Consider the following 26775-nt stretch of genomic DNA (forward strand, 5'->3'; position numbering starts at 1 on the left):
GACGAGCTGCTTCATGGTGATGTTGGATCCAGCAATTAACAAGGAAGAAAACAGTTCTTTTTTGAGCCATTACTAATCACTTTATTCTTTTTAGCTGTACTAAACGAGCAGGTGAAGGAGGCTGAAGGATCGTCTGCTGAATACAAGAAAGAAATTGAGGAACTAAAGGAACTGCTACCCGAAATTAGAGAGAAGATAGAAGATGCAAAGGAGTCTCAGCGTAGTGGGAATGTAGCTGAACTGGCTCTGAAAGCTACTCTGGTTGGTTCCGTTAACATTTTGATAATAGCATGTTTGGTACCATTTATGTTAATGTTCTATTTGCCAGGAACTTTTCATCATGACTTGGTTTCCAGGGAGTTGGTGGGCTCATCTAATTATTCCTATCAAGTAATGCAGTGGTTAAGAGGAAATACCCTGGAGCCCCAGACTATCTGGGTTTTAATTCCATACTTACGTGTGGCCATGGGCCTTTCTCTCCCTCAGTTGACCGATTTGTAAAATGGGGATAATACAGGTTGAGTATCCTTACCTGAATGCTTGAGACCAGAAGTGTTTTGCATTTCAAATGCTTTTGGATTTTGGAATATTTGCATCATACTCAACAGTTGGATACCCTTAATCTAAAATCTGAAATGCTCCAGAGAGCATTTCCTTTGAGTGTCAGTCAGTCCTCAAAAAGTTTCAGATTGTTGGATTAAGGGATGGGATGCCCGACCTGTAGTACATATGTGTAAAATATACTTCTGACAGTACTGGAAAAATAGACATTTCTTAAAAAATGTAAGTTGCTATTTCCATCTCCAAGAACTCATTTGCATAAATTAATGAGGCATTGAGAGGCATTCACCACAAATTGCCTGGTTCTGTTTTTGGCACAGACCTTTTTACCCTGCAGGTAGGATATAGAAGATTTAGTTTATTATGTACACTCTATGTATAGACTATGCTCTGGGTGGCTGCTAGACAGGCATAGGTGGGCCAGGGGTAGAACTGGATACTATATGGAGGCCACTAGCATTTCAGGTCTTAGTCAGTTGTTTGGATGGTGATGGGTTCCTGTTACAAGGCTGTGGGCGGCCTGGGTTCTATCTTCAAACTAATTTGGATTTGTCATTTCTCGCAGGTGGAGAGTTCTACTTCAGGTTTCACTCCTGGTGGAGGAGGCTCTTCAGTCTCCATGGTGCGTATTCAGGTGGTTTTTTGGTCACTTACATTAAGTCTCAGTGTTGGCTCATGCCTGTAATCCCAGCATTTTGGGAGGCCAAGGCAGGAAGATTGCCTGAGGCTTGGAATTCAACACTAGCTTGGGCAACATAGTGAGACCTTGTCTCTGAAAAACTAAAAAATTATAAAAGCCTCAGCATTGATCTCATATAGCTTGTACAATTGCTAATAAGGGCTTATTTTGCCAGATTGCCAGTAGAAAGCCAACAGACGGTGCTTCCTCATCAAATTGTGTGACTGATATTTCCCACCTTGTCAGAAAGAAGGTAAGTCTACATGTGGTGTTTCTTTTCTACCGTTTCCTCAGACTCCATTTTTAATCCCTTTCCTATAAACCCCTCCCTATAGTTGGTGCATATAAGACACTTATTTTCCAAAGGTGGTAAGGATTTGTGAGTGGAGACTGTTGTGTTTTGTTTTGTTTTGAGACGGAGTCTTGCTCTGTCACCCAGGCTGGAGTGCAGTGGCGCAGTCTCGGCTCACTGAAACCTCTGCCCCCCGGGTTCAAGTGATTCTCCTGCCTCAGCTTCCCAAGTAGCTGGGATTACAGGCGCCCGCCACCACGCCTGGCTAGTTTTTGTATTTTTAGTAGAGACTGGGTTTTGCCATACTGACCAGGCTGGTCTTGAACTGCTGACCTCGTGATCCACCCACCTCGGCATCCCAAAGTGCTGGGATTATAAGCGTGAGCCACTGCCCTCAGCCAGGGAACTCTGAACTCCTGTTCTGTTTCCTGACTCAAACACAGGAATTCAAACTTGTACAGTGATTACCATTCACATCTCCTCACCCCAACCCTATCTCCCTGTGCTTCCGGTAGAGGGGCCTGAAGTGATATGGTGGGACAGATTAATACATTCTGAGAGTACAGGTTGGCATCTGCCTGTGGCTAGGGAGAGAGACCCTTAGAGCTGTGAATCCTGATGTTCAGGATCTTTGCACCACAAGGGTTAAGGAAATGTTTTGCAGTTGTCTTTTTAAAAACATTAAGCACATTTGTGAAGCCTTCACAATTATATCTTTAGAGGAAACCAGAGGAAGAGAGTCCCCGGAAAGATGATGCAAAGAAAGCCAAACAAGAGCCGGAGGTGAACGGAGGCAGTGGGGATGCTGTCCCCAGTGGAAATGAAGTTTCGGAAAACATGGAGGAGGAGGTGGGCAGTTAAGCAGGGCTTAGCCTCTTGCCTCATTCCTTGTTCTCAGGACCTGGGGAAATCAGTCCTCTCAAGTGCATGCTCCCCACCTTGAGCCTGCTAACGATTGTTGAGTGCAGTCCTCACAGAAAACGGTACTTGTGCAGGAAAACAGTTTGGTTATGGGAGTATAGGATGACTCACTGACAAATGGAACCTGTATATTATAGGTCCCTCGATGAATATATGAGAAGGCACTTGATGGGCAAAACCATTAGGTCACTTCCTTCCACGTGATGATTATTGGCTCTGTCAGCCCCATTATCACAGAGTATTCAAGAAATACTTTGTGGTCACTGCCCTCTTAATATAGGGAGCAAAGCAGAGTTTGGGTGACTTGTATATGCTTCCTATGACTGAGGCCTCAGTTATATAAGACAGAATGGCTTAAACTAGGCTCACTCATGCCCAGGTTCTGTTTGTCTTCCAGGCTGAGAATCAGGCTGAAAGCCGGGCAGCAGTGGAGGGGACAGTGGAGGCTGGAGCTACAGTTGAAAGCACTGCATGTTAAGAGGGGGCACAGCCCTCCTCCCAAGGGAAAGTGTTTTTGTATATAATGTATTTTTTCACTTTTGGAGGATTCTTTTTGTATAACTTCAATAAAGATTGTAAGCAAAGGTTGAGGCTTTGATGGTTTTTTTCTTAATTATTGGCTGAATCTGCCTTGGAGCACTGCTGGTTTTATATATTAGCCAAAGGTTTTGTTCTGGCCTTCTGTACTGATCTGTGTTCCTGATCCTAATTCCTATCTGTCTAACGTGGAGGTGATCAAGTGTGGCTGTAGGCCTTTGTTTTCCAATGGTGCTATATTCTGTTTTCAAACACTTCACTGAACCCAGCTGTCTTGCAAACTTTCAGTGGTGCTGTCCCTGGATGGGGGCTACAAAAACAAGAATTGGTGAAGATCTTGCTCTTCAGTGCTGAAAATGGATGATGGACTTTGGCTGTGAGCCAGGCCTAGGATGGTTCTTGTCCTATATCCACCTAGTCTTCACCTGGGGCTATAATTCTGTCCTGGAAAAAGAACTCTGAAAACCTGGGTCAGGGGAATGATTCCTAAGGAAAACGGTCTGCATTTGAGCTCTGGTTTGAAAGTAGCCAAGGGGACTGATGGTGGACACTCCAGATGTGGTTGGAAGCATATGTGGGGAGGCTGGCTGGTTGAGTTTTGTTATTTTCTGTATAGAAAGGTTGAGATATATCAACACTTGGAATTGTTACCCATCTGCAGAATTGACTTCTCAAATAAAGATGCTAAAAATCTCCTTGTCTGGAATTATGTTTAAAGATCTTAAGTGGGGTCTTAGGCTGCTTTTTTGAGATGGGATCTTGCTCTTGTCGCCCAGGCTGGAGTGCAGTGGCGTGATCTCGGCTCACTGCAACCTCTGTCTCCTGGGTTCAAGAGATTATCCTGCCTCAGGAGGCTCCCAAGTAGCCAGCACTACAGGCTAATTTTTGTATTTTTGGTGGAGACGAGGTTTCACCATGTTGGCCAGGCTGGTCTCGAACTCCTGACCTAAAGTGATCTGCCCACTTTGGCCTCAGGAAGTGTTAGGATTACAGGCGTGAGCCACTTCACCTGACTGCCTGGAGCATTTCTGTGTGCGATAGAGGGTTTCAAAGGCAGAAACGAGCCCACCAGTCCAAGGATGCTGGTGGTGAGGGCACTAGTATTAATGTTAGACCTGTTGTGCTCTCACTGGTGTCTAGGGGTCAGGGCTCACTTGAGACTGAACTGCCTCTGACCTGACTCTAAGTACCAGTTAGGATCTGAATTCCAAACAATGCCTGCCCTATATCACCACCTCAATTTAGTAGTCATGACACCCATAGGGCTGCTTTTGTTGCACTGGAGGCAGAGGAAGCGATGGCCGGCCCCTAAATTCAACCCAATTTTTCAGACTAAGTAAGTTTTTCTGGGCTGGTCACAGTAACTCATGGTTGCAGGATCTCTGGCTTATCCTGGCTGTGGAGTTTCTTCCTGATGTTGCCCTTGCAGTATATGTTCCAGGTCCTGAGGCGCTTTGCCCCCTTTTCTTGGTCAGGACAGTCACGATGTAGTTTACTCCCAGGCACTTGACCTTCTCTGGTTGGCACTGGGATCTAGGGCTAGGCACAGTATCTAAGCTAGATCTCACATGTGACCCCTGGTTGGGGGAACAACCTTGGGCTGGGGACCTATCCCAGAATCAAAGTACATAAGGCCTCAGGAGCTTCCTGTTTATGGGTACATTGAGAACCTGAAAGGTTTCCTGGCAGAAATACTGAGGAAACGGATTTAAGTTTGGCAATAAAACTGGCTTTACCAAAAAAAGCAGTGGGAACTAGTGGGAATTTAAAGTTGCTTTAGTGGGAATTAATGCCCCCTAGTCACCTTTCGGAGAACTTCATAAGTGCCAGACAATATCACAAATACCTGACAAACTCATTTAATCCTTAATCTGTTTTACAAAAACAGAAGAGGTACAGAAAAGTTAAGGACTTAACGGGAGGTGGTAAAGCTGTGGTTGGAACTGGTTTTCTGTACTCAACTGCTAGATGCTTCTAGACCCAATGTCAGAACATGGAGTAGTAAACCTGTAGGTCTGGAAATAGGCCCCAGTCCTGTGCATGTTCAGATGCTCATCTCCACATTCACTTGGGTTCAGAAACTCACTGGGGGCAAGTCAGAACTGTGGTGAGGGCCCAAACCCTCATCTCTATCCTTGACTCCACTGAGGGGCTCTTCTGTACGAGGTGGGGGATCAGCAAAGCCAACTGCGGGGGTGAGGAAGCTGGCTTCCAGTGAAGATGTGCTGGACACCTGTGGAACAGGAGAAGGCAGGTTTTGAGCAAAAATGTAAAGGTTAAGCACACAGGTTTTGGAGTTAGTTAGGCTTCCTTAGAGTCTCACTTACTGTGAACCAAGTTAACCTGCTCCTGCTTTGATTTCCTTATCTGTTACATAGTAGGACTTCATAGAGATGTGAGGATCAAACAAGAAAGCATTGGTAATGACTGGCACACAGTGGTCAATAAAGGCTGGCCGTTAGCCATACCAGCCACACCGGTATGTGTAGCTGTGGTGTCCCTAGCTGCAGCTGGGCCCTCACCGGAGGTGGGTACTGGTACTCATGGACACTTGCTGGATTGATCTCTGCCAGTGTCTGTACAGCTGCATCTCTTGCATTCACCAGCCGCAGAAAGAGCTCAGCCTGACCTGCCTGGGGAGAGATGAAATGGTATTGCACTTGTACTTTGCTGTATGCCCAATCCCTGCGCACCACACTCACCTGAGGAATCCCATTCAGCTGCCCAAGGCTAAGGCTGGGGTCCAGAGGAAGGGCCCGAAGTGGGAGGCGCCAGCGGCCACTTAGCACCCGCTGATCTTGGTCAAATAGTCCAAGTGAGACCCAAGCCTTTGGCTGTGGTGCCCTAGCCCATGCTAGCCCCTGCCAGACCTGCAGCTCACAGACCAAAGATACTGATGATGAGGGTGGTAGTCTGTAGAATAACCAAAAAGCAGTGTCGGAAGCCAGAGCTACAGTCCCTTTCTAGGACTTAGCCCTTTAGAGCCAGCGGCCTCTGTATACAGATGAGAAAACTTAGCAGAATGGTGGATAAGCCTCAACTGTGGCAGAGTACCAGAGTCATGATCCCCACCTACTGACCTGGGCACAGGCTGCCTGCTGGCAAGGATGGCACAGTTGCCCATGGGCCCGGGAGCAGGAGGTGGGGGCAGGCAAAGGGCTGGGGGCAACGCTGTGGTCCTTCCTGTATCCCGTCCATCGCGTGCCAAGCCAGTCCTTAGTTGCACCCAAATCCAGGAAGCCTCAAGGCCCCGCAGGAAATCATAGAAAATGACCAGGCCAGCCCTGGGGAACACAAGTCTTAGCACAGAAATACCCAACTCCTTTCAACCTCCCTCCTCTCAGGCAGGTCCCTAACCCTATCTGGTCCTAGTGGGCTCCCTTAACCAGCAGTGCTGGCCAAGTCACAGAGGCTGTCGAAGGTGGCACGGGCCTCACCCAGGATCATAGGGTGCAGGGCCCAGCATGTCCGATGTGGGCAGGAGGAAGTGTGAGTCCAGGCCCAGGTTTCTGGTCATTGTTCCAGGAAGCTGTGGCTGTGGGGAAGAGAGCTGACTCCTCCAGAAAGCCTTGTAGCTGCTCATGTTCCCCCAACTGCTCAGAGCAGAGCTGCCTCCAACCTGTTCCCCCAACCCACCCCGTGTCCTCACAGCCTTTGCCCCACCCAAGAACTGAACCTCCGAGAAGCCTGGAAGTGGTGGCAGCGGTGGTGCCACCGGTGGCGGGAGGAGTGGGGGATCTCTCCTCCCCTTCGGTTGTAGGCTGGCATCCCCCAGGAGTCGCAGATCCTGGGGCCCTAGGAGCAGAAGAGTTAGGGTGCCCCTAAGTTGGACAAAGCAGGTAATTAGCTGAGATACCCCTCCCCCAAGAGTTGGGCCCACAAATGGGTTGGCGGAGCCCTGTGGATACAGGGATACACACGTGCAGACATGAACTAGGGGAGTCACAAACACGGGTCTTGTTCCCCATGCACTGTCTGCCTGAGCCAGGCCTGCTGGGGAGAGATAAGTGGGATGGGATAGGGTTGGGGTGCTCACTGACCCAAGGGTGCCCGACCCCTCTGCATTTGCAAGGCCAAGATTTCTGCCTCCAAGCGCCGGTTTTCAGCCTCCACTACTGGAAGCTCCCCTGAGGTGGCACCTGCCCTTCCTGCGATGAACAAGTGTGACCTGTCACCTTTGACCTCTGGTGACTGGCCGCGTCCGGCTGTGAGCAGCTCTCCAGCGCTAAGGCTCTTCGGATAAGGCTGGACTTGTCAGCTCACATGCCATCCACAGCCACAGGCCCTCCCTCGAGTTCTTTTCTCCTCCCAGGACTGACCACCGCTGGCGAGAGGCCCTCCTGTTCACCTCTGCGGGTCTGCGACCGCTGCAGCTCCAGTGCAGACGCCTCCACCTGCAACTGCCATATCTGGCCCAGCACGCCGGGGTCCCGGCCCCCGTCTCGAATGTAGGCCTCCCGCAGCGCCCTAGGGAGTGGGGAACAGGAAGGCCGTCTTTCCAGAACTGCTCAGCGCTTCGCCCTATGCCCATCTCCGGCCCCGGCTCTCACCGGATTTCGGCAGCCAGAGTTCCCGGGTTGGCCTTTTGCACTGGAGAATAAAGTTCTGCCTCTCGCCGGGAGCTCAGCGGGTTCCTGGGGTGGCAGGCGACGCGCAGGGAGACGGTAACGCATCAGAGGCCCCGGGGCTGCAGCCAGCCCGCCCCTCCCACCCCGGAGCCGCATGTTCCGGGGATCCGCTTAGTCGGGTCTCACCCTGGCTCCGCCTGCAGCTCCTGAATGCGGGCCCCCAACACCTCTAGAGCTCCCCGCGTCCTCCCGGCCTCAGCTTGTAGTTCTCGAATCTCCTGCTCCAGGCCGAAGAGGCGGGACATCCCGCCCCGCGTACAGGCCACAACTTGGAGGCGTCGGCTCAGTTCTGAGGGAATGCGGGCCGAGTCAGAACCGGCCCGAGCAAGCTTAAGCCAAACGGCGAGGGCAGAGGAGGTCCTTGGTCCCCGTCCCCCATCTCCTTCACCCTCGCCGCGTAGCTGCAGGGCCCGGCTCTGCGCTTCCATCTCCGCCACGCGCCTCGCGCGAGTCCTGAACAGCGCCCGCAGCCGCTCGCTGGGGCTTCCCACCGCCTCGGACATGGGACTCTGAGGCCGCGCCTCGGAACGTGTCCAGGGCCCCGCGAACACCCTGGGGACCTCTGTTATCCAGGGCCGCATTTCCTGTAGGGATAGCCGCAGCCACTGCACCTGGAGGTAACAGCGATCCGCGATCTCTGCGTGGGCAGAATCTGTCCCAAGTATGATCTACAGGTTTGGGGAAGACGCTCAACGTTTTGAGCCCTGGGGGAAGGTAGGTAGCTCTACCTCCTCTGTTAACCTCTTTAGAGCAGATCTACTGGCCTGCTGGTCTGGGAGGCCCTGGGGTTCTTGTGGCACGCCCTGGTGTTCTTGTGGCACAACCTGGGGATAGGGTGTAGTAGGATGAGGAATCATAAAGGTCCTGGCTCCTTTGAATCCCCACCCATGGCCATGGAGGCCCTTACCGCGGCCCGCTGGGGTTCAGTGGCAACTGATGCCTGTGCTCCAAATGTCATCTCTTGGGTCGGGTGGCCAATGCAGAAGCGCTGAGTATGGGTGGCTAACAGAGCTGAGGAGCGGAAAACCATGTCACAGGTCCCACAGGGCAGGAGCGCAGGCTCCCCAGAGTGGGAGTCCATGGGATGGGACCCGTTTCCTGAAACCAGCCAAGACCTGCAGAAGGGATCAAGGGCAGGGGAAAGGCAGAGGAGGATGAAAGAGACATAAAGCCAGAGGCAGAGAGGAAAGGCCGTGTCTATTAGGTCTGTGAGATCTTCAAGTTTGTTTGGGGAGAGCCTTAGCTCCCTGGACAGCAACCACAGGGCTGGGCAGGTCAGGAGAATGGGTGGGGAAACCTCGGCCGTTTGGGAGGAGCCACTGGCTTGAAAAAGTGTTACAAAGTCTGAACGTGGGCAAGTCTCTAATTGTAGCTTGGTTTCCCTGACTATTAATAAAGAGGAAAAAGCAGCTGCCTCCTAGACTAGGCTGGGCCCTTATCACTTACTACATCATTGGTCATTTAATAGCCTCTAAAAGGCAAGTGTCATCTTTTTCATTGCTGTACTCCCAAGTGGATGTAACAGTTTGTACCATTCTCCAATCCAGAGAACTACCTGGCAAAGGAGGCACTCTGACCTTTCCAGCATTCTGCCTGGAAACCATGTCGCACCAGGGATAGCAGTCTCCCTAACTCCCATTCCCTGATTCCTCATTTTTCAGCTGTAGACGAAGATAATCAGCACAGCCCAAGAAATGAAAGCTGTGGGCGAACAGAATGAATCTATCAGATGAGGGAATCAAGTCCAGAAAAAAACCCCTTCTCTCTCCCAAGATTGGCCAGAAGCCAGAAAGACCCTGAACTGTTGGTGAAATTCTTCACTCCACTCCCACTCCCAAAATATATGGAGGAGCTCTGAGGTGACCGCATATTTCTTAAGAAACCCTCTTTACTTTTTTTTTTTTCTTTTTGAGATGGAGTCTCGCTGTCGCCCAGGCCGAAGTGCAGTGGCGCGATCTCAGCTCACTGCAATGAGCTCTGCCTCCTGGGTTCACGCCATTCTCCTGCCTCAGCCTCCCAAGTAGCTGAGACTACAGGTGCCCACCACCACGCTTGGCTCATTTTTTGTATTTTTTAGTAGAGACGGGGTTTCACCATGTTAGCCAGGATGGTCTTGATCTCCTGACCTCGTGATCTGCCCGCCTTGGCCTCCCAAAGTGCTGGGATTACAGGCGTAAGGCACTGCGCCCGGCCAAGAAACACCCTTTTCTCTTCTTTTTTTGAGACAGTCTCGCTCTGTTGCCCAGGCTACAGTGCAATGGCACGATCTCGGCTCACTGCAAGCTCTGCCTCCCAGGTTGACACCATTCTCCTGCCTCAGCCTCCCCAGTAGCTGGGACTACAGGCACCTGCCACCACACCCGGCTTTTTTTTTTTTTTTTTTTTAGACGGAGTCTCGCTCTTTCGCCCAGGCCGAAGTGCAGTGGCACTATCTGGGCTCACTGCAAGCTCCGCCTTCCGGGTTCAAGCCATTCTCCTGCCTCAGCCTCCCGAGTAGCTGAGACTACAGGTGCCCACCACTGTGCCCGGCTAATTTTTTTTGTATTTTTAGTAGAGATGGGGTTTCACCGTGTCAGCCAGGATGGTCTTGATCTCCTGACCTTGTGATCCGCCCGCCTCGGCGTGCCAAAGTGCTGAGATTACAGGCGTGAGCCACTGCGCCCAGCCTTATGCCTGGCTAATTTTTTGTATTTTTAGTAGAGACGGGGTTTCACAGTGTTAGCCAGGATGGTCTCGATCTCCTGACCTCGTGATTCCCCCGCCTCGGCCTCCCAAAGTGCTGGGATTACAGGTGTGAGCCACCATGCCTGGCCGAAACTCCCTTTTCTAAACAAGACAGGGACTTAAGACATTTCCCTACTCAGTACCTAAAGCCAAGGTATGACCCACCAGCAGCAAGTTACAAAGTGTTCAAAGTATGTCATCTCAGTTCAGCTTAATTCCAACTGACATAAAGAGTACATTTTTAGAAATATGTTCTCAGAAAACAAGTAAATGGCAAAGCCCAAATCAAAACCTCCTTTTCAACAACTAAGTTTGTCCCAATTTTCAATGGTTAAGACTTTTGACTGGTTGACTTTACAATGGTGCAACAGTGATAGGCATTCAGTAGAAATACTACTACCATTTTTTTTTTTTTTCCCTCAAGAGACAGCTTGTAGTTCTCTAATCTCCTGCTCTAGGCCGAAGAGGCGGGAGCAGGACTGTCATCCAGGCTGGATTGTAGTGGTGCCATCATGGCTCACTGTAGCCCTGAACTGCCTTGGAATCAAGCAATCCTCCTGCCTTAGCCTCCCAAGAAGCTGGGACTACAAGTGTGTGCTACCACGTGGACCTGTCTATTTTGTTTCTGTTTTTGAGACAGAGTCTTGCTCTGTTGCCCAGGCTGGAGTGCAATGGTGCAGTATGGGCTCACTGCAACCTCTGCCTCCTGGGCTCAAGCAATTCTCCTGCCTCAGCCTCCTAAATAGTTAGGATTACAGGTGCTTGCTGCCATGCCTGGTTGTTTTTTTTTTTTTTTTTTTTTGAGACAGAGTCTCACTCTTTCTCCCAGGCTGGAGTGCAGTGGCGCTATCTCAGCTCACTGCAAGCTCTGCCTCCTGGGTTCACGCCAATCTCCTGCCTCAGCCTCCCGAGTAGCTGGGACTACAGGCGCCCGCCACCATGCCTGGCTAATTTTTTGTATTTTCAGTGGAGATGGGGTTTCACCATGTTAGCCAGGCTGGTCTCGAACTCCTGACCTCAGGTGATTCACCCGCTTCAGCCTCCCAAAGTGCTGGGATTACAGGCGTGAGCCACGCCTGGCTGGACCTGACCATTTTAATGTTTTTGTTTTTTATAGAGACAGGTCACTGTGTTGCCCAGGCTGGTCTTGAACCCCTGTCCTTTTCTTACATCACTGTCTATTCTCTCCCCTACTGGGCTGGGCACTCCTTGCATCCTCAGAGCCTTGCATAATGCCTGGGACATACAACACGGGCTTAGAAAGTATTTGTTGAATGGGCCGGGTGCGGTGGCTCACGCCTGTAATCCCAGAACTTTGGGAGGCCGAGGTGGGTGGATCACAAGATCAGGAGATCGAGACCATCCTGGCAAACACGGTGAAACCCCATCTCTACTAAAAATACAAAAAATGAGCCAGGCGTGGTGGCAGGCGCCTGTAGTCCCAGCTACTCAGGAGGCTGAGGCAGGAGAATGGTGGGAACCCGGGAGGCGGAGCTTACAGTGAGCTGAGATCGCTACTGCACTCCAGCCTGGGTGACACAGTGAGACTCCGTCTCAAAAAAAAAAAAAAAGTATTTGTTGAATGAAAAAACCTGCTTCCTTCACTAGCCATTCAGCTACCATCGTCCAACTCTCCCCCAACCCCCACTCCAAGTTCTTATTTAGTAGGAAAACAGAACAGACTTCCCTTAAAATACGTACACTGGTAAATACATGGGCACTAAAAAACAGTTTCAGGAAAAAAAAAAAACTTGGTTTCTGACTTTATTACTGGTAATTTATTGCACAGGTTTTTCTGCATCAAAAAAGTATCTGCTAAAATAGAGAAACAGTTGTGTCTGAATTCACATTTCCCCCCAACTTCTAAAAATATTTCCCCTAAAAAAGAATCCACTCATCTAATTTTAAAGAAAATATACTTCTTACACAAGACAATCCAAACTGATGCAAAATATTTATTCCAAGTTAGTTATTTTATGCAGTAGTTTCCCCCTCGAGACTTGTGATAACCACATCTTTTAAATCTGTAAATAATGTTATCAAAATAATCTTAATCTTTGAAATCTCACAAAAATTTATATTTTACAATCCACCCTGAATATCAAGGCTGCAAGAATAACACAACATTTCCTATATCCAAATATTTTACAGCTGTACCCAAAAAGGAAAAAGAAAAAAAAAACAAAAAAAAACAACCAAAAAAACCCACATATGCTTGGTTAAGGGCTAAAGTTACCCGAGCAGCCAAAAATAAAATAAAATATCCAAATTATTAGCATTAATTTAATACAATTATAACTTCAATAGTCACTTTGTCATTGACAATGATTGCTTGATCACAGGGGTGAGTGCCCCAAGGGCTGGTAGTAGAAGCTGTTGCTGCAGACCAGTGTCTCCTCTTCCCTGCACTGCCAGCTCCTACCTGTGCATCGCCCCATATATACTGGGTGTGTATGTGTGTGTGTGTGTGAGTGTGTTTAAAAAATCTGTCCCACCACACAAACTTCTCTCTATAAAGCAGATAACAGGGAAGAACAATAACAAAAGCAAAACAAGCCAATTGCTCTCTCTTTGGGATATGATTATTTCCCTTGTGAATGAAGTATTCAACAACATAAGAAAAGGAAAAGAACGATTTCTTTTGTATACTCCCTAAACACACAGAGTTTACTGGGTCAGATTTAACTGTGAGCATTTATATGCCTACTTCCAGGCATCGTCATCTGATGTTTCACTGCTACTGGTTTCGGTGTCTGAGTCCTCAAACTCTGCTTTGCAAGTGCTTCTCCAAGGGGAGAACAGACTGGAACTGCGGCTCTGCAAGAAGCCATTCTTTCCAAAGCCATTTCTTCTCAGCTATGGTTAGCATGGGAGAGAAAGAAAAAAGAAAAAAATATCAATGACTGTACTGACCCATAAGCCCTGGGAAAGGCCAGGCCTCAATTCAATTCTAGGTAGAATGTGGGGCGGGGGGTGCTTCTAAGAGACCCTCTGAGATCTCTTATACCAGTACTTTTCAAATTTTAATTTACGAGTCATCTACGCATCTTTCAAAAATGCAGATTCAGATTCAGAATGTCTGGGATGGGGCTTGAAAGTCCTTATTTCTTTTTATTTATTTATTTTTTTGAGACGGAATCTCGCTCTGTCACCCAGGCTAGAGTGCAATGGCACAATCTTGGCTCACTGCATCCTCCGCCTCCTGGGTTCAAGCGATTCTCCTGCCTCAGCCTCCCAAGTAGCTTGGATTACAGGCGCACACCACCACGCCTAGTTAATTTTTGTATTTTTAGTAGAGATGGGGCTTCACCATATTGGCCAGTATGCTCTTGAGCTCCTGACCTCGTCATCTGCCTGCCTCGGCCTCCCAAAGTGTTGGGATTACAGGCGTGAGCCACTGTGCCCAGCCATAAGTCCTTATTTCTAACAGAGTTCTAAGTGGCAAGGTCTCACATCAGCTTGTGCCATGCCCCTTTTAAGGACTTGGCCAATTGTGCTGTAAATACAGGCCACCAGAAGTTCAAGGATTTTTATAGAAACCCCATTTGTCTTGTTCACCCTAAGATCTAGCAGTGTTTTATTCAGAGAAAGAATCCAAGCAACTGCTGGATAAACTGACACAAGCTATTTAGCTTCTTAGCTCTGGCCAGAGGACCAGGAAACTACAGTGCAGATCAGGAAGCAGAGGAAGGTGAACCTGCTTCCTTAAAGACCAAGAGCTCAGACCATAGCTCTGGAACACAGCCTTGTGGTTCTGATAAGGAGTTAGAGCTGTTAGGATGAAAGAGCATACTATTTTTTGGAATCTGCTAATCACTGACACTTGGTTTTTGTATATAACACTGGGGATCCTTATTTCCCAGGCAGATTTAGGGGCCCCACTACATTTCTACTAAGGTAATCCCCCCCCCCCCCACCCGATCTTTCTCTCACATTAAACTTGCTCCCTCAGGGCAAGAACTGTCTTGACTCCTTATTCTCCTGGTTACTAACTGGTCTCTAGGAAGAAGGTTTACAACATACCTGCTCTGTCTTCATGTGGAACTCTTTGAGCTCATCCTCTGTGAGGGGAAGGCAATTCTCATCATTTTCAGGATATTCCTGCCAACCCATAGCTTTCAATAACCTGGTGGACGCAGAAGGACAGGTAAAGAGAATACAACATCACTAAGCCTAAGTGAACAGCCCACCACTTTTCACAGAAAAGTTTTCTGCCCAGGGGCAATGGATGTTAAAGAAGGAATTTTGTTTTCCTCCCTGTGGGACAAGCTTTAATTGTGGCTACCTGGGTGCTGTAAATAAATGGAGGCTCTTCACAGTTGAGAGAGGAAGAGCTAAAGAAGAGACAGTAGAAGCAAAACCAAGACAGTGTAAGGAAGAAAGAGAGCACTTGCAGTCTGGCTTTTTTTTTTTTTTGGGATGGAGTCTCACTCTGTCACCCAGGCTGAAGTGCAGTGGTACAATCTCAGCTCACTGCAACCTCCGCCTCCCGGGTTCAAGCCATTCTCCCGTCCCAGCCTCCCTAGTAGCTGGAATTACAGGCGCACACTACCATGCCCAGCTACTTTTTGTATTTTTGGTAGAGACAGGGTTTCGCCATGTTGGCCAAGCTGGTCTCAAACTCTTGACCTTGACTGATCCACCCACCTCAGCCTCCCAAAGTGCTGGGATTACAGGCATGAGCCACTGCGCCCGGCCTGAAGTTAAAAGTATTAAAGTATTGGAGAGTAGATTGTGGAAAAGATGGCTGAGTTTGAGAGAGAATGCTTGATGAGCAACAGGCCAACCTGGGGCATACACAGAGAACAAGTTATGACTGGGCCACTTCTCTCTGCATGTGGGACCTATCTATCTGAGATATCTTCTCCAGTATGTTCAAGGTCCTTAAAGGTCAGACACTGCATGCCCTGTGATGTCCTCCTCACTTACCTGTGCTCTGCTTCTAGAGAGTGTGAGAGAACCTCCCCTTCTTCCACTACAGGGAGGGCAAGACCATTTTGATGACAGCCTTCCTCCCCATTTTCCTTTGGTTCAGGTGTGCTGTTGTCCTCCAACTGCAATAAGGAAAAGGAAGGACACAGTTGGTTTAAGGTTCCTTTGTAGTAATATAAGCAACCTATGAAATCAAGGACTCACGACCCAGGAAGTGTTTTCCAAAAGACAGCCTCAGCCCACAGATTTTTTTCCCCATTTACAAATGAGGACCTGCTGCATCAACAAAACTGATTCTAAAGTTTTAATGAAAAGGCAAAAGATCCAGAACAGCCAACACAATACTGAAGAATAAAACCAGAGTACTGATATTACCTGACATCAAGACTTACCACAAAAGCTGGAGTAATTAAAACAGTATGGTAACAGTGCTCATAAGAGGTGTGGGGGGAAAAAGTGTGGTACTGGCAGAAGATGACACAAATAGTCCAATGGGACAGAACAGAGAGCCCACAAATAGACAACTGATCTTTGACAAAGGAAATACAATGGAGAAAAGATAGTCTTTTCAACAAATGGTGAGGGAACAATTGGACAGCCACACTAAAAAAAAAAAAATCAATCTAAACAAAGACCTTACAGCCGTCACAAAAATAAAGTCAAAATGGGTCACAGACCTAAATGTAAAACACAAAACTATAAAACTCCTATAAGGATAACATAAAAGAAAACTTAGATTACCTTGGGTATGACATTTATTTATTTATTTATTTGTTTATTTACTTACTTATTTTTGGAGATCAAGTCTCACTCTGTTGCTCAGGCTGGAGTGCAGTGGCGCGATCTCGGCTCACTGCAACCCCCGCCTCCCATGTTCAAGTGATTCTCATGCCTCAGCCTCCCATGTAGCTGTGACTATGGGTGCATGCTACCATGCCCGGCTAATTTTTCTGTTTTTAGTAGGAACGGGGTTTCGCCAGGTTGGCCAGGCTGGTCTCAAACTCCTGACCTCAGGTGATCCGCCCACCTCAGCCAACCAAAGTGTTGGGATTATAGGTTTGAGCCACCGTGACTGGCCTACAATTAATTAGGCTGGATTTCATTAAAATAAAAAAAATTTCTGCTTTGCAAAACACTCTGTCAAGAGAATTAAAAGACAGTGTAGTTGCTCACACCTGTAATCCTAGCACTTTCGGAGGCCAAAGGTGGGAGGACTGCTTGAGTCTAGGAGTTTAACACCAGCCTGAGCAACATAGCAAGAAGCTATCTCTGTACCAAACAAAATATTAGCCAGGCATGGTGGCACAAGCCTATAGTCCCAGCTACTCGGGAGGCTGAGGCTGAGGCATAGCTTGAGGAGGGGAGGTCGAGGCTGCAGTGAACTGTGATCATTAATGCCACTGCATTCAGCCTGGGCGACAGAGTGAGACACTGTCTCAAAAACAAATATGGCCGGCTGGGCATGGCAGCTCATGCCTGTAATCCCAGCATTTTGGGAGGCTGAGGTGGGTGGATTACCTGAGGTCTGGAATCCGAGACCAGCCTGACCAACATGGTGAAACCTTGTCTCTACTACATACAAAAAAAATTCCAGAAAATAGTATACTCTTTCATCCTCACAGGTCTAATTCCTTATCAGAACCACAAGGCTGTGTTCCAGAGTTATGGTCTGAGCTCTTGGTCTTCAAGGAAGCAGGTTGGCCTTCCTCTGCCTCTTGTTCTGCACTGTAGTTTCCTGGTCCTCTGGCCAGAGCTAAGAAGCTAAATAACGTGTGTCATGTGGTGGCACATGCCTGTAATCCCAGCTACTTGGGAGGCTGAGGCAGGAGAACTGCTTGAACCTGGAAGGCGGTGGTTGCAGTAAGCTGAGATTGCTCCATTGCACTCCAGCCTGGGCAACAGAGTGAAACTCCATCTCAAAAAATAAAGTAATACAAATAAATAAATATGGCCACATGTGGTGGCTTATGCCTTTAATCCTAGCACTTTGGGAGGCTGAGACAGGCAGAACACTTGAGGCCAGGAGTTCAAGACCAGCCTGGCCAACATGACGAAACTCCATCTCTACTAAGAATACAAAAATTAGCTGGGCGTGGTGGCGGGTGCCTGTAATCCCAGCTACTCAGGAAGCTGAGGCAGGAGAATCGCTTGAACCCGGGAAGCGGAGGTTGCAATGAGCCCAGATCGTGCCACTGCACTCCAGTCTGGGTGATAAGAGCCAGACTCTGTCTCAAAATAAATAAATAAGAAAGAATGAAGAGTCAAATCACAGACTTGGAGAAACTGTAGTCAAAGACACATCTAATAAAGGACTATTAACTAAGATATACAAAGAACTCTAAGAACTCTTAAAACTTAGCAATAAGAAAACAGACAACCTCATTAAAAAATGGGTAAGGGACCTGAACAAACACATCAACAAAGAAGATACATAGATGGATGCTCCACATGATATGTCATCATGGAAGTGCAAATTAAAACTACACACCTATCAGGAGGGCCAAAATCCAGAACACTGATAATATCGAATACTGGTGAGGAGGTGTAGCAACAGAAATTCTCATTTATTGCTGGTGGGAATGCAAAATGGCACAACCACTTTGGAAGACAGTTTGGTGGTTTCCTGACAAGCTAAACATGCTCTTACCATATGATCCAGCAATTGCGCTCCTTGGTATTTACCCAAAGGAGTTGAACTTATGCCAGCACAAAAACCTGCACATGGATGTTTACTGCAGTTTTATTCATAGTTGCCAACACTTGGAAGCAACCAAGATGTACTTCAATAGGTGAGTGATTACTAAAATAAACCCGAATTTAACATTTTTGCTGAAAAAAGGATTAAACTCACTTTACTATGTGGTCTAGAAGGCAGTTACACCTACAGACAGTATCTCTGTACATTTAAAAATCTTGCCACATCTTTATCCTTTAAGAAGAAGAAATCACGTATGTATCAAAGGAAAATTCCTAGGCTACCCCCAGAAAAGGCGGATGCTCTTACATCTTCCAGCTTGTCACAGTCTCTATTCTCTGAGAAGTCTCCATTCCGGTCATCCTTCAGAGTTTTCAGGAACTCACTCTTCCTGTCGGTGGTTCGGCGGGTCAACTTGGTCAGACGAGAGGAGCTGATCTCAATTGGAGGGGTGGTGCTGGAGGGACTCTGGGCAAATACCACAAACAGGTTGCTCCTGACAGCAAAGAGCAAGAACTGGGGTTCTCTTCTACTAAGTGCTGACTTCAAGAATCTGGTAGCCTATTTATCACTCTGTCTTAAACCAAACAATCCTTTTATTTAAGCAGTTCAAACTTCAGTTTTGCAGGGTTTATATAGTTAAGAGCAGCTGGCTTACATGGCACCTCTTTGATCTTTCTACAGACATCAGCAGAATGCCAGTCTAACATAGGATGACCTTGGTCCACCACAGAGCATCTATCCCATTTAGCCACTGCCCACTTTTGGATGCTAACAGAAAACATCAATAAAGAAACTATTCTCAGCTAAATATAGCTACAAAACAAGTGTCACAGCTATACATATTACACTTGTTATCTAAGTGAACGGGAAATGGCAATTTCAGAAAAGACTGTCCTGCTTCATCCTCACTCACCTCTTTGGGAGAACTCAGAGCTGCACCACTAGCCAGTACCACTGGTTTGGTAACAGAGATTGGACTGGTAAAAGCAGACTCCCGGCTAGAGGAAAGGGATCCTGACTTGTGCTCCATCCTGTTAGCTTTCCATGCATTAGGCTACACAGGGTGAAAGAACAAATCAGTCAGAACAAGCACACAAACAGAAGCTCAGCTTATAAAATCATAAAGCAAAGAGTGAAATGTTACATGAGAACATAAGTTTCCAGGGCTTACCTGTCTTAACATGTTTGGGAAGTATGCAACCTCTTTCGGAGGTTAGGCACTTCAAGGAAAATGGTAGATGGGATACAGAAGAGCCATTGGACATTAATAGTGACTTCCCAAAAACAGGGCTCTAGTTCAATAGTTCAATGAGTTTGGGAGGTGCCGGGGTGAAAAAAGTTCAACAAGGTTCTTCACTGTGCAATTTCTCAAAGCACTTAACTGCACATAAGAATTTGAGAGGCAGTTATGCAGCATTTTCCTAATTTATTGAATCCCAAAACTTTTTTTAGTAGTGTTTGTTAACTTTGGATGTAATCCTGATAGCCCACAAAGTGCATCACAAAATTGCTGCTTTCCAGGAACTCTGATGGCAAAAGGCTAGTTCCAGGCCAGGGTGGCTATTGTAAATGGTTGAACAATCCTGATTTATTTAGTCTGGAGGCCCGTCTACTCAACTCTGCAGGGTCTGGGCCCATTCTGTCACTCTGGCCATAACCCCAAGTATGATAGAAAGCTGGAATACTGAGTTACCACACTGTCCAAGGAGACCAAGGAAGATGTGGCAAGCCAGTGGAGTGGTGCTGAAGCAAATGAAAAACTTCCAACTTATTTTTCCAGAATGAAACACTTAGAACAGAGGACCTCCAGGACAAAGGGGCCTGAGTGAAATGGATTCCCTTCCTGGTTGCTTTCTTGATTGATGGGTATTAAAAGAAGACACAATAATAGCTTTAGGAAAGGAATTAACTTTACTATCTACCATGTACCAGGTGATGGTCAGTCTGTTTTATTTAATTCTTAAACCAATCAGGAATAATAATTGTTACGCTGACTTTTAATAGAGGATGACACTGACAATAAGGAAGTTCCACAATTTGTTCAAGGTTATTCAGCTAGTAAATGAAACCACCTTTCCACTATCCCAAAATGCCTCCACAAAGAACAAGCAAGCAGATAAGAGAAACGATGACCCAACCAGAATGAAGATTAATTTTTTTCTTGCATTGATAAAAATCTAAAGATGGTTGCTTGTGTCAGGTTAACTCTCAAAGATGATTTGTGGCTTCCCCTGAGTTGTAGTCACCAGATGTCCTGTCTTTAAAACAATGTCACTCCAGAGCACAGAAACACTTGGGTTTCTGCCACAGTAGTACAAAAGATTTACTCTGTTACATAAAACAGAATATCTATGTCTGTGCCAATTTTATTTCAACTTAATTTTCAGTAACTTAAACCCTATGAGATAGCTAGACTACCCCCTGGAAAAATCATTATGCCCCACACCTGTTTTTATTAGATGATTATACATGTAAAAGTCCATTAAAGTGAATTGTATAACCAGTTTTTTTTGTTGTTGTTTTTTAAATGTTCTCTCCTTTTCCTCTAAATTCTGAATCAACCCTAGCTTGCTCCACTTCAGAATCTTCTTCTACTGGACTAAAAATTCTAAAATCACTGGGCTCAAACTTTCTCCCACCTCCTCTGCCGTTTGCCCCTCAAGTTCAAAGGAATGTCCTCCTCCCTTTCTAGCACTTTCTTCTCTTTCCTTTTGGGTTTATCAAATATGCTAATCCACCTTATTGAAATTAGGAGAAAAAGGCCAGACTTCTTATTTTCCCTCAATCTTATATACCACCTTCTTATTGCCAAACTTCTGAGTAAGTCAGTATACATTATCTTTCACTCGTTCATTAACTATTTACTGCTTAGTTCCCTGCAATACTCACCTCTATCCCCAATTTTAGTAAAACTCTTTCATAAATAACCAAAACTTTCATCCTTATATTACAAAGGCCAGCTCTAAAAAACCTGTCTTCTTTGGGAAATGCGATATTGCTCATTATGAATATTTTCTGAACCTGTCCCTTTTTCCCTTCTTGATTTCCTGATGCTTCACTCTCTCAGTTCTCTCTTTACCTCTTGAATTCCCTTCTTTTCAATGGATGTAAGTATACTAGCATTCCAGACTCAGTACTCTTCTTCTTCTGTAGTCTGTTGAACTAGGTGAATTTCATTAGAAAAAGCAATTACTTATAACTGTTTCAGTTTAAAATGTTAAAATTGTGTAGATAATATGTAAAATTGCATCTCTACCTACTTTAACTTCTCTCCTGTTCTTTTTATACAGGCCTCCATCAAGTCTGACTTCCCCATTCACTTTCACATACCAGCCATACCGAACCAATATGGTTCCTTTACTCCAAACATACCATATTCTGCATCCATTTTCTGGTTAACAACAGGTTCCCTCTGCCGAGAATGCCCTACCTACTTGCTTTCTAATGAACTACTGTACTACTGTTTTTAAACGTCCACTTACTGGGTAATTAGGATGTTTCAAAAACTATATTCCAAGTACTTGCTCCAATTTACTGTCAAGAAGAGTTTAGCAAAATCTAATAACTTGCTTAAGATCACAACCCTAGAAAGTGTCACAAAGATTTCAACTTAGTTAAGTTTGAGTCAAAAGATTAATTTCTCAACTTCCTCTTCTATTCTTCATCCTTCAAGACAGGAGGCATTCTGGAACAGTAGAAAGAGCCCTGGTTTTGAAGTCAGACCTGAGTTAAAAGCCTGACTCTATCACTTATTAGCTATGTAACCCCACAGTGTGTATTCTCTATATCCCAGGATTAAAAGAGTAAATGCTTTAATATGTGTAAAAGCCCTAACCAAGCAACATAGTAAGATGTCAACAAATGGCAGTTCTCTTTCCTTTATCATGTATTTGAATCCCAGTTATCCGTAAAGACTTTGATGACCCTCCCCAGGCAGAGAAGCACAATTTTTTTCAAATAACTCTTTCTTCACTAGACAGTAAACTCTTTGCGATTACAGGCCAAGTATTATTTTGTGTCTCTAGTGACACAGTGTTTACTACTCAGATACTCAATAATTATTGCTAATGTTTAGATAAAATGAATGGATAAATCAACATCTGCTTATTAGTTATCTTACCTCTTCCTCCCTCTAACATCTCATATCCTACGTACCCAGAACCACAATCACATTTCCTGAAACCTGACCTTCCATATTTACCCCAATTTTCCCAGGAAGAATGTCTTCTGTTTTCTTTTGCTGCCTAATTTGCCTCCCACTATCTGCCATTACCACCTCTGCCAACTGTTACCATCTCTGCCATTCTCTGCCAACTGTTACCATCCTCTTCAAGCTTCAAGAGCAGCAGCCTTTATATTAGTTTTCCAATCTTCATTCTACCCCTGACTCACAACAGGGCTAAAGTGATCTTAAGTTTTGTATCATAATTTTTATCCTTGTAAAAATTTTTTTACCTTTTGATTTATGAGATCCTTGAGGACACAATGACATTTTCTTACTCATTTTTATATTTTCTGTAGTCCTGCAGAATGCTTGCAGACATCTTAAAGTAACACTTAAGAAAGTCTTTATAAACTCTCAAGAAATGGGACAAACATAAGTTGTGCTGGCAGGTTGGTAACAATAGCTACCATTTATTGGCACTTATTATATGCCAGTTTTAGGTATTTCATAAAATTTTCTCATTTACTCCTCACAAAAAAAAGGGGGGCATTGTTATGTCTATTTTATAGAAGAAGAAACTGAGACTGGGAAGTGAAGAAACTTGCTCAAGGACGTAAGATGAAGAAGGTGTAAGGTGAAATCTGTCTATTCCATAGCCCGGCAGTTAACTTCCATGCTCAGCTGTTTCTTTGTAATAGTTGCTCTCTTCACTTGAATTCACATTCTTTCCCTTCTACATCAGAGGAAAATAAACCCTAAGTATCCTAAACCCTTTTCAAAGATAACTGTACTTGTCAATTAGTTTTATTCCCACATATTTCTTCTTGGCCCATAATCCTTTAATGATCTCTTCCAAGTACAGTTCAAGTTGCTTCCAGTGGCTTCTTCCAACAGACTTCCTCATCCATTCACTTATCTTTTCCACTGCCTATATTCTATCTAGTTCCTTTTACTGTCAAGGTTAAAAGGTGCCACTACCTCCACATATTTCCAAAAGCCCTTGAAATACTGTTTCAGCCCTACTTTATTCCCTAAAAACATCAACTCAAAAGTCTCCTAAGATAATCACTAAGGTTTTTTCTCAGTTATTTTCCTCAACTTGTTACCCCTGTTGCTATTGCAAACTCACCCACTTGTATTTCTGTGAGAGTTTACCATTTTTTTCTGAACTAGTTTCTCAGTACTATCCCATTCTTTACTCCTCTTCTATCCTCTTCTCTTCTTCCATCCTCTTCTCTTGTATATCTAATCTACCTTGAAAACTCCAATCATTATCACTAGGATAGTAACTCCCAGTGAATTTATTCAGAGGGTGAGCACGGTGGCTCACGTCTGTAATCCTAGCACTTTGTGAGGTCAAGGTGGGAGGATGGCTTGAGCCCAGAAGTTCGAGACCAGCCTGGGCAATATAGTGAGACCCCAATCACTATTTTAAATAAATAGATGAAAGAAAAGAAAGAAAATTATTCACAGAGAGGATGGCATGCGCCAGAAGAATAATTTCTTCCCGGGTAAGAGAAAAAAGGGGCAATAAGATGCAAAAGATGGATTAGAGTTTGGCTATGAGAAACTTCACAGACCTCTGCTTACTCTGCACACTGACTATAGGACTAGCACACTATGACCCATGGGCCAAATCTTGACCAAGGCATTTCTGTATGATTCATGAGCTCATACTTATTTTTACATTTTTAAAGAGCTGGAAAAAAAAAAGGCAATGTGTAACAAAAATCATATATATCAAGCAAAGCCTAAAATATTTATTATCTGGCCCTTCATAGAAAAAAATTACCAATCCCTGCCATACATTGTTTGGAGCCACTGAAGGAATTCAGGAAGGCATGTGATATATTCAATTGTTTTTGGAATGATCATTCTGGCAGTTCTGTAGGACACAGAGACATGAGAAAATAGAAAGGTATACTAGAACAGTAAATGTGAGAAGACAAAGTCCTGAACAAGGACAGCATAGAGAGAATAACAGGGACTTTGTAATTCCTTGGCTGAGGAGAATGACTAAGGAGGAAGAGAAGAGAAGTAGCCAAGATAGTCAAGCTGAGTGATTAGGATGTTGTTGCTATTACAGAAAACCAGAGGGGCCAGGTGTGGTGGCTCACGCCCATAATCTCAGCGCTCTGGGAGGCTGAGGCAGGAGGATTCCTTGAGGCCAGGAGATAGAGACCAGCCTGGGCAACAAAATGAGATTCTGTCTCTACAAAAAATAATTAAAAAAAAAAAAAAAAAAATGGCTGGGCGTGGCGGCTCACGCCTGTAATCCCAGCACCTTGGGAGGCCGAGGCGGGCGGATCACGAGGTCAGGAGATTGAGACCATCCTGGCTAACAACGGTGAAACCCCGTCTCTACTAAAAATACAAAAAAACACCGAGCCGGGTGTGGTGGCGGGCGCCTGTAGTCCCAGCTACTCGGGAGGCTGAGGAAGAATGGTGTGAACCCAGGAGGTGGAGCTTGCAGTGAGCTGAGATCGTGCCACTGCACTCCAGCCTGGGTGACAGAGCGAGGCTCCATCTCAAAAAAACAAAACAAAACAAAAAATAAAATAAATAAAAAAAATAGCCGGGCATAATGGCGTGCCCCTGTAGTTTCAGCTACTTGGGAGGCTGAGGTCACACTGAGCCATGATTGTGCCACTGCATTCCAGCCTGGGTGACAGAGTGAGACCTTGTCTCAAAAAAATAAAGAAAAAGAAAAAAAAAAAAGCAAAGAAAGCTGTATACATATAACAGGTACTGAAAGAATATCTGGTGACTGATGCGGCAAGAAAAAACAAATTTATTAATTTTTTCCTGATTTATTCCCAAACCTCTCTTGTATAAGGTTCTTGCCCTGATTCTAAATCATACCTTGGAAGGAGGTGGTACAGGCTTAGGAACCAGGTTCTTATAGACACTTGGAACCACGGATGACAATTTGTTCCCATTTGCATGGTGAGATCCTGGTGAGGTGAATGCAGCAGAGAAGGCAGCAGCAGGATCCTCTTTGGAAACTTTTTTGATAACTAGCATCTTGGAGGGTTGCTTGGCACTAGGCGGGTTTTCTGTGAAGTACAAGAGTGGAGAGACAACAGAATGTCAAACCTGTTGTGTAACATGAAGCATAGTTTATACAAAGGCCTTAGTCAACAAAACAGCTGACAGTTGAGACAGAGGGATTAAACATTCCCTGGTATGCACTTAATAGATACTCTCAAAAGTGAGACTACTCAGGAACTGTACAAAAAAATGCAGCATATGAGGAACTGGATACTAAATTTATAAATCAGCCAGGAAGTCCAAAGATGTTAGCAGTCCTTCAGGGGCACAATATGTCTGATGGACAGTGTGATCAGTTAAGCATGAACCCAACAAGAATAAATCCAAGCGCCAGGCACTGTGGCTCATGCCTGTAATCTCAGCACTTGGAGGTGCTGAGGTGGGCAGATCACTTGAGTCCCAAGAGTTCGAGACCAGCCTGGGCTGGCAAACCCTGTGGCAAATCCCCATCTTTACAAAAAATACAAACATTAGCCAGGCATGGTGGTGCACACCTGTGGTCCCAGCTACTTAGGAGGCTGAGGCGGGAGAATCACTTGAGCCCAGGTCGAGGCTGCAGCGAGCCATGACTGTGCCACTGCACTCCAGCATGGATGACAAAGTCAGACCCTAACTCAAAAAAACAAAAACAAAACAAAAAAAAACACCTAAAAGTAGCAGCTCCTGTCAGCATGAGAATAGAGAGATGAGGTAATCAGGGATTGGAGTCTGCCATGAAACCCTCTGATGAGGCAAACTGGAGCAAAGGTATACACCATTAGCAAAGAGGAGAAGGTACATCGATCAATCTTAATCCTACAATACTGGATTCTAAACCCATCATTTAGATATGTTAAAGACTTCCCATGTTCTTGGCTATCAACATGTCTAATGAAGAAACCAGGAGAGTCCAATTTGTAAATGCCAAAGATCCCAATGCCACAGATGAGGTTTGGTTTGAAATACAGATTCCTATCGCACCACTGCACTCTAGCCTGGGCGACAGAGTGAGATTCTGTCTCAAAAAACAAAACAAAACAAAACAAAAAACCACAAACATATATATACACACACATACACATAAACACACACACACACACACACACACACGAATATTTAAACATACATATATATGAATGTTTAAGAATATATTGTTATGGGCTGGGTATGGTGGCTCACGCCTGTAATCTCAGCACTTTGAGAGGCCGAGGCAGGCGGATGATGAGGTCAAGAGATCGAGACCATCGTGGCCAACATGGTGAAACCCCATCTCTACTAAATAACAAAAATTAGCCGGGCGTGGTGGCATAGGCCTGTATTCCCAGCTACTTAGGAGGCTGAGGCAGGAGAAAAGCTTGAATCCGGGAGGCTGAGGTTGCAGTGAGCTGAGATCTCGCCACCGCACTCCAGCCTGGCAACAGAGTGAGACTCCATCTCAAAAAAAAAAAAAAAAAAAAGTAAGTGAAGTAGCAATGTTAATTAAGTTACTTTTCATGAACTTTTTCTACTTAAAATCTGCTTCCATGTTGGCTACGGTGGCTCATGCCTGTAATCCCAGCACTTTGGGAGGCCAAGATGGGTGGATCACTTGAGGCCAAGAATTCAAGA

The 26775-nt window shown here is 45.7% G+C and overlaps 3 protein-coding genes across 36 annotated transcripts in view; 1 reads left to right on the top strand and 2 right to left on the bottom strand.

Moving 5' to 3' along the window:
* Positions 1-3683, top strand: part of NASP (nuclear autoantigenic sperm protein) — a 34853-nt gene extending 31170 nt beyond the window's left edge. For 5 of the 8 annotated variants that reach the window (XM_005270888.4, XM_005270889.4, NM_002482.4 and 2 more), the window contains 5 exons: positions 95-261; positions 1127-1183; positions 1416-1493; positions 2253-2381; positions 2851-3683. In XM_005270888.4, coding sequence (XP_005270945.1) covers positions 95-261; positions 1127-1183; positions 1416-1493; positions 2253-2381; positions 2851-2931 — 512 coding nt within the window. In that variant the 3' untranslated portion in view covers positions 2932-3683. The remainder of the gene's footprint in view (positions 1-94; positions 262-1126; positions 1184-1415; positions 1494-2252; positions 2382-2850) is intronic. The other 3 variants (XM_011541509.3, XM_047421212.1, XM_017001356.3) reach the window with 1 other exon arrangement.
* Positions 4834-8844, bottom strand: CCDC17 (coiled-coil domain containing 17). Of its 13 annotated transcripts, none has more exons than NM_001190182.2 (13): positions 8526-8844; positions 8347-8442; positions 8007-8202; positions 7745-7907; positions 7541-7624; positions 7339-7457; positions 7031-7138; positions 6667-6785; positions 6428-6525; positions 6071-6274; positions 5693-5903; positions 5513-5623; positions 4834-5223 (listed from the first exon to the last, which is right to left on the bottom strand). In NM_001190182.2, the coding sequence occupies exons 1-13, from the start codon at positions 8697-8699 to the stop codon at positions 5065-5067; spliced, it is 1842 nt and encodes a 613-aa protein (NP_001177111.1). In that variant the 5' UTR covers positions 8700-8844; the 3' UTR covers positions 4834-5064. The 13 variants fall into 13 exon arrangements, with proteins under 13 accessions (NP_001177111.1, NP_001108410.2, XP_016855941.1 ...); NM_001114938.3 differs by having other exon boundaries at positions 8007-8229; XM_017000452.2 differs by having other exon boundaries at positions 5513-5903; positions 8007-8229.
* A 3249-nt stretch (positions 8845-12093) lies between these two features.
* GPBP1L1 (GC-rich promoter binding protein 1 like 1) overlaps positions 12094-26775 on the bottom strand; it is a 60807-nt gene continuing 46125 nt past the window's right edge. For 10 of the 15 annotated variants that reach the window (XM_024448810.2, XM_047427059.1, XM_047427066.1 and 7 more), the window contains 6 exons: positions 25000-25193; positions 18886-19026; positions 18279-18437; positions 15272-15396; positions 14366-14468; positions 12094-13198 (listed from right to left, as the gene is read on the bottom strand). In XM_024448810.2, the coding sequence (XP_024304578.1) occupies positions 13046-13198; positions 14366-14468; positions 15272-15396; positions 18279-18437; positions 18886-19026; positions 25000-25193 (875 nt within the window). In that variant the 3' untranslated portion in view covers positions 12094-13045. Of the gene's footprint in view, positions 13199-14365; positions 14469-15271; positions 15397-18278; positions 18466-18885; positions 19027-24999; positions 25194-26775 lie in introns of those variants that run through there. The other 5 variants (XM_047427077.1, XM_047427075.1, XM_047427076.1 and 2 more) reach the window with 2 other exon arrangements.

This window comes from Homo sapiens, chromosome 1 (genome assembly GCF_000001405.40).
Source record: "Homo sapiens chromosome 1, GRCh38.p14 Primary Assembly".
Taxonomy (NCBI): Eukaryota; Metazoa; Chordata; class Mammalia; order Primates; family Hominidae; genus Homo; species Homo sapiens.